At 51.5% G+C, this 6579-nt stretch overlaps 1 protein-coding gene across 2 annotated transcripts; it reads right to left on the reverse strand.

The window, feature by feature from the left end:
- Positions 1–2988: 2988 nt before the first annotated feature.
- MAGEA6 (MAGE family member A6) lies at positions 2989–6542 on the reverse strand. 2 transcript variants are annotated; one of them, NM_005363.5, is made up of 3 exons: positions 6507–6542; positions 4649–4714; positions 2989–4568 (listed from the first exon to the last, which is right to left on the reverse strand). In NM_005363.5, exon 3 carries the CDS (start codon positions 4501–4503, stop codon positions 3559–3561), a length of 945 nt encoding a protein of 314 aa, NP_005354.1. In that variant the 5' UTR covers positions 4504–4568; positions 4649–4714; positions 6507–6542; the 3' UTR covers positions 2989–3558. The 2 variants fall into 2 exon arrangements, with proteins under 2 accessions (NP_005354.1, NP_787064.1); NM_175868.4 differs by having other exon boundaries at positions 4649–4778.
- Positions 6543–6579: the final 37 nt, after the last annotated feature.

Here is a 6579-nt window from a genome sequence, read left to right on the forward strand (position 1 = left end):
AAATTGTGAATTATCTACATTTCTATAAGTTTTGCAATAAGAATATGTACAATACTACATTTTAAATAAAAAAAAATTAAACCTGACAAACAGAAATACTAGCCATGTCAGTTTAAGTAACTGCTAGCCATTGCAACAGAACAACCACGAATGGCTTGCCACAACACAAGTTTATTTTATGTGCAAATAAGTTCTGATGCAGTTTGCCAGGGGCTCTCCACTCTCACGGGACCCAGGAATCCAAGCTGCTTCCACCTTGTGATTCCGTCATCTCAAGATGAAGCTGCCATGTTTGCTAGTGAAAGCGGAGAGAAAGCTTGGAAATGGCACACTGGCTCCCACATGCCTGGATGTGACAAACAATGCTTCTGCTCCTATATTGGTATAAAGGAAATGTCACATGACCCATCCTAACTGCAAGGACTTTACTGTTCCCATGTGTCCAGGAAGGAGACAGAGACAAAATGTGTGTGAGTACTATACCCTCCCCCATAAACTGTTACATAGTAGGTGCTCAACAAAAACAACTGTGATTCTTTGGTATTACACTACCCTTCTCATTTCTAGGAGGAGTTTCTGAGAAGGCCAAATTTGCCGTGACATTCTCCAACTTTTTCCAGTGTCAAATATGTAACTGATGTTTTCAAATATACGATCACAACTAACTGCCCAAGAATCTTGGAAGTCTCGGCGAGAAGGCTTCCCTTTGCAATACCCTTTAATCCTTAGTAGGCTGAGCATTTTTCCTCCATTTGATTCCCGGTCAAAATGTTAACCTGTGAATTTCTGCTACCCTCCACAAGCCTGAACACCTCTCGAGTGCCTGTAGGCACAATAAAGGCCAGTATTTTCCCGTGGAGCAGGTAAACAGACAAGAAACAGAAGGCTGCTTAATTATTCCTCTTTCATTAGAGTTGACATGTTTTCAAGGAATCGTTTTTAGACTCCTGGAGGACTCCAGAAATTTAGGAATTCAGCCTCAGTAAGTAGATGTTTGTTCCACTGGGATTTCCCAAGGTTTTTCTCATCTAGTACTCATGAGGGATGGTTTGCTCTTTGACCATTTATCTGTGCATGTATTCAGAGGCGAATTCCAAAAGGACGCCCTGTGAAAGTCTGATTTCAGGTATCAAGGTGGTTCCAAATTCCTCTCACTTCAGGGTGACATCACACAAGAACCCTTAGATAATATGGAGAAACAGACTACTCAGCCCTTTCAGAAAACAATTAGAGAGTGTGTTGAAGACAACCGGAGTGGTAACCAGGTGTCTAAACGTCACTGTCCCCATGTGAATTTTTATATCAAAAGGATTGTTGATATCATATGGCTTCCTGGGTGAGAGACGGGACAGCCAGAGGACTTCTACTGTGAGAAGGAATGCTCCCTGTCAGGAGGTGAGCAGGGGATTCTGGGCTGTTCTGTGGGGACCAGTGAGGAGCTGATCAGCAGGCCCTATAGGTTCCGGAGTCAGACAGGACACATGGAAGTGACCCGGGGAAATGTGCTGTAATTCTGAAAGTGCTGGGGCTGGACAGAAATGAACACATCTTGCCAGTGTCAGCTCTCAGGGAACCCAGCGCACACCAGCCCCAAATGGTGTTTGATTCTCATTGTCGCGTTCTCCAGGCCTGCTTTATTACGCTGGCCTCGAGGTCCTTCTTTTTGTCACCTGAGAGACATGGTGCAGTGCTGAGAAGAAAAATGAAGTCGCTGTCAGGAGGTCAGCCTCGGGCTGGGAGAAGTGGGAACAGCATGGGCTCTAAAGGAATTCAGAACAGGGGTCGGGTTCTGCCCTGTTCCTCACTAGCCACGTGATCCTGGGAAATACCCAGGAAATACCCTGTTTTTATATCCCAATTCACACACCCTGTGAGCCTTGGATTCTTCATCTGTAAGCAGATGTGATAAGGACTGTCTAGTAGGACAGTTGGAGTGTATGCAACGCAGGTGAAGCACCTGACTCCGGGCCTGGTATAAATTAGAAGTTTAACAAATGGCGGATGGCTGTTATTTCCAATATTTTTTAACCCGAGGCCCTAACACTCCGGGATTTTGTTGTTGCTGTCGTTGTTCTCCAGGACTTACCAGAGAATATACAGCTCAATAGGACATGGAATAATTAGCCCCAAACAGAAGCTTCTTCCATAAAATTCAGTTAAGTATTTCCTCTCAGAGAATGCACTTCAAAATTTGGGTGTGCAGGAGTTTCGCCCAGCCAGGTGCAGCTCGGAGCTCCTACAATCTGCGTCAAAAGACCAACTGCTTCTCTCTCTCCCAGCTGCTTTCCCACCCAAACCACCATTTTCATCCATTTTGTTACCATCCAAAATCTAGCCCGTGCTTACAATTGGTCAAATTGCACTTGAGATAACCTAGTTGGAATGCCTTTTTTAATGGAGTCAGCTCTGCCTCTCCCTGCCCGGCAGAAAAGCACCTGGCCAGGGGCTTCTGGGCCACCCTTCCTGGGAAATTCAGCCTTATCGCTCAGGAAACCCTTGCAGATGATGGGTGTCCATCACCTAGATCTTGGGCTGCGTTCAACAGCAGTGGGACAAAAGCAGACGACACCTTCCATTCCTGCCTGAGGTAGAGATTCCTCTCTGTTCATCCCCCATTCGAAAGAAACTGCTCAGAGTTGCTTTCCATTCCAGGCTTTTCTCCCACACTCTGAGAATCTGGCTCTGGGCCCACCCAACTTCATTAGAGTCAGCTCCTTCAGAAGGAACTGAAGTTTCCCAAAGCCCAAAATGCCCCAGCTCAGGGCACTGACACTCCACTACTCTCACCCGGAGCGCCACACCCTCACCCCTCTCTTACATTTCCTCTACATCTTACAGGACTTCTCACCACCTTAATTATATGACTGCAGGTCCTAGGCTCTACAGCCCTATGGGTAGGCGTGAGTCTGGCTTACCTTAGCATCCCCACTACTAACCCAGGGCCTCCCACAGAGCAGATGCTGAGTGAACGGAAAAGAAACGAGCCAGTGAAGAGGAAGAATTATTTATTCAGATTTAATTTCGCTTGCATTCTCAAAGAAGTCAAGGAAATCCTGGTTTGCATATTTGTTTAATTTTACAGAATAGATTGAGGTACAAGGCAAGAATCAACTATCTTTTGATTTCTTGAGTTATCTCATGTATGTTATTGCTAATTCGCTCACAATTTTAAGCAAATACTTTTACCACTGCTATTATTATGTCACAATTCACAAAATGGAATGGATTTCCCAATCTGAATAAAAAACAAGACTCTTACTCCTAAACTATATAAACAGCACTATGTGTGACTACTGTCATTCATAAACCTGGATGCTGACGCTCATTCAACCATCCGTTAAAAGGAACATTTGAACAACTCCAACAGGAAACAAAGAATAATCTCAAAGTCATCCAACAGAACAGAAACCCACTACTAAGAATGCTGACTGCTCGCTTCAAAGAGTGAAGAATGGGCCTCACGTCACAGGAGGCAGTGGAAACTAAGGGATGGGGCCCCGGAAGGTGCACTGGCCCAAACCCCCTCCCACTGGCCCTGGCTGCAACTCGTGCTCAGACTCACTCTTCCCCCTCTCTCAAAGCCCACTCATGCAGGAGTGGGTAGGAAATGCGAGGTCCTCCACTGATCTTTACCATATGGTGCAGGACTTTCACATAGCTGGTTTCAATGAGGGCCCTTGGACCCCACAGGAACTCATAGCATGCAGGATCACTGCCGGGGACCTGCCGGTACTCCAGGTAGTTTTCCTGCACGAAATATTGGGTGAGCAGCTTCTTGGGATCCCCGAAGATACTGTCTTCCCTCCCCTCAAACACCTCTAACACACTCAGCTCCTCCCAGATTTTCTCCTCAGGGGCACAGTCGCCCTCTTTTGCGATTATGGCCAGGATGATTATCAGGAAGCCTGTCTTGGGCATGATCTGATTGTCACCCAGCAGGCCATCGTAGGAGAGGCCCAGGCAGGTGGCAAAGATGTACACGTGGCCGATGGGGTCCACTTCCATCAGCTCGATGCCAAAGACCAGCTGCAAGGAATCGGAAGCTTTGCTGAAGATCACAGGAAAGAAGTACTGCCAATTTCCGACGACACTCCCCAGCATTTCTGCCTTTGTGACCGGCTCCCTGGCTCGATACTTGAGGAGCAGAAAATGAACCAACTTGGCCACCTTCCTACTGAGTGCTGCTTGGAACTCAGACTCCAGGTCAGGGAAGGTGCTTGGCCCCTCCTCTTCTTGGTTGCTGGAGTCCTCATAGGATTGGCTCCAGAGAGGGTAGTTCATGGTAGTGGGGAGGCTGGAGGCTCCCTGAGGACTCTGGGGAGGATCTGGTGACTCGGCAGCAGGCACCTCCCCCAGGGTGACTTCAACTAGAGTAGAAGAGGAGGAGGCAGCCTCCTGCTCCTCAGTAGCAGGAGCCTGCGCACCCACCAGGCCCAGGGCCTCTCCTCGGGCCTCAAGGCCTTCTTCAGGCTTGCAGTGCTGACTCCTCTGCTCAAGAGGCATGATGACTCTGGTCAGGGCAACAGGCGGGAGTGTGGGCAGGAGCTGGGCAATGGAGACCCACTGGCCTGGGGAGAGAGGGAGCATGTGAGAGACCTCAGCTGAGTACTGAATGGAACCTTGGAGGCTCTAACAAAGGCTTACTTACAGATCTTCTCCTTCAGTGCTCCTCCGGGGGCCTCTGTTCCTCCACGTCAGCCTGTCCCCTCAGAACCTGAAGGAGGAAGTGAGAGGGCACCTCAGGGTACATCCGGCCAGCACATGCTGAGGCTGCAGGACTGAAAGTATTGAGGGTGAGGCCAGGCGCTCTGGAGTCCATGTGTTCTGGGGCAGGTGGGGCCCTTGGTTTGAATCCAAGGCAAACCTTCACCGTTGGCACTATCTGAGCCCCCTCTACTCTGTGACCTGAGGACACTGCCTCAGACCAAGTCCTCACTGCCTTGTTCCTGGAGCTCCTGATTCCTGGGAGAGGAATCCACGGGCCCCCAATGTGCAGACAGCAAACGCAGCCACGGATTCCCAGAACTGTCAGGAGGGTTGGCCAGACTCTGTGAGGTCCCCACTCTACTGGGGTGGAGGATCCCCTCTGTGCTCACTCAGGGCCCTCACCTTTCTCCTTATAGGACCTAATCCCTCCCTTCTGCTGGCCTGAGAATCTCTCATGTCAAGAACTCACATACCTGATATGGTACAGAAAAACATGAGGGGACCCACATCTGGCCATACATTCCCAGGTCCTCCCGGAAAGGACAACGAGAGATGTCCAAATTTATTGAAGTCCATGTACCCTGGGTGAGGAGACTGCTTGGTCCTCACCTCCACTCCTAGTAGGGTCTGAGAGCCTCCCTCTACTGCCCTGAGTGCAGTCCCCTCAGACCAAGGCTTCCCCTTCCCTGACATCAGTGATCCTAGGATAATGGAGGGACCTCAGCTGACAGCCCTGCCCAGGCTCTCTGAGGTAACAGCAGGAGCAGGGCAGATTTTTATGGGGCCCCCAGTCCGCATTCTGTCCCAGGGGTACCCTCAATCCTCCCTCAGTCTCTTCACCTGGATGCTTGGCAGATCCTAGGACCACTGCATCTGTCCACCACATAGGGGCCCCTTGGGGGTACACCTTGGGCCCTGCAGATCCTGGGATTCCTCCCTCTGCTGACCTGAAGTCCCACTCTTCAGACCACAGCCCTCAACTCTCTGGTCACCCTGAAGGCGCAATGAGCACAGAGCACATTTGGCCACTGTGCCCAGCATCCCCCAGCCCAAGGTTGCCACTGATCTGGACTCCAAGGTCCCCTCAGTCCTCCCTCTTCTTCCTCCCCATGACTCCTCGCAGGGCTGGGCCCCAACCCCCTGCTGAAGTGGGTCTGCATCCCTAGGATTCCCGTAGCCGAATGAAAAGGTGCCTCGGTTTGAGACAGGGGTACAGTGGGCCCCCTGTCCTGGCATGCTGGGTCCCCTCAGGACTCCACTGTCTTCCAGGAGGGCCTGGGCCCTTTCGCTGCCTCCCAACGGCCATACTCGCGATACCGAACCCCTTCCCTCCCTTAGCCGTAGATGTGAACCTCAGGACTCACGTGCCTGGCCGCCATTCCCGGAGCTTCCGTGACTTGATACCAGGGGCAAAGCCCGGATTCTGCCAGGATAGGGGTGGGGGTGGGGATGGGAATGGGGAATGGGGGATGGGGGTGGGGTTGGTGTTGGGGGACGGGAATGGTGGTGAGGGTGGTGGTTAGGCTGCCCTCAGTTCCCTCTCGGGGTCCTGACCTTGATTCCTGCCACAGCGTGGGCCCTGACCTCTTCTAACCAGCCCTGCCCTGGCCACATTAAGCTCTGTCCCCAGAGTTCCCCGTGGCTAAAGCGGCGGGGGTCGGCGGGGTGAGGTAGTGGCGACCCAGCCTGGAAGTCTTCCCCTGCGGGGTGGCCCAGGCCCGGCAGCAGAGGCAGCACTGGATTATTTGAGGCCCTCTGTCTGAGGTGAGGCCCGCCTCAGTCCTCCCTCAGCGTCTTACCTTGCCTCCTCACCGAGCCTGGGCCGGCTTCCCTCCGCCGACGTCAGGCCGTCGCTCGTTGCTCAGGGCGAGA

This window comes from Homo sapiens, chromosome X (assembly GCF_000001405.40).
Source record: "Homo sapiens chromosome X, GRCh38.p14 Primary Assembly".
NCBI classification, from domain to species: domain Eukaryota; kingdom Metazoa; phylum Chordata; class Mammalia; order Primates; family Hominidae; genus Homo; species Homo sapiens.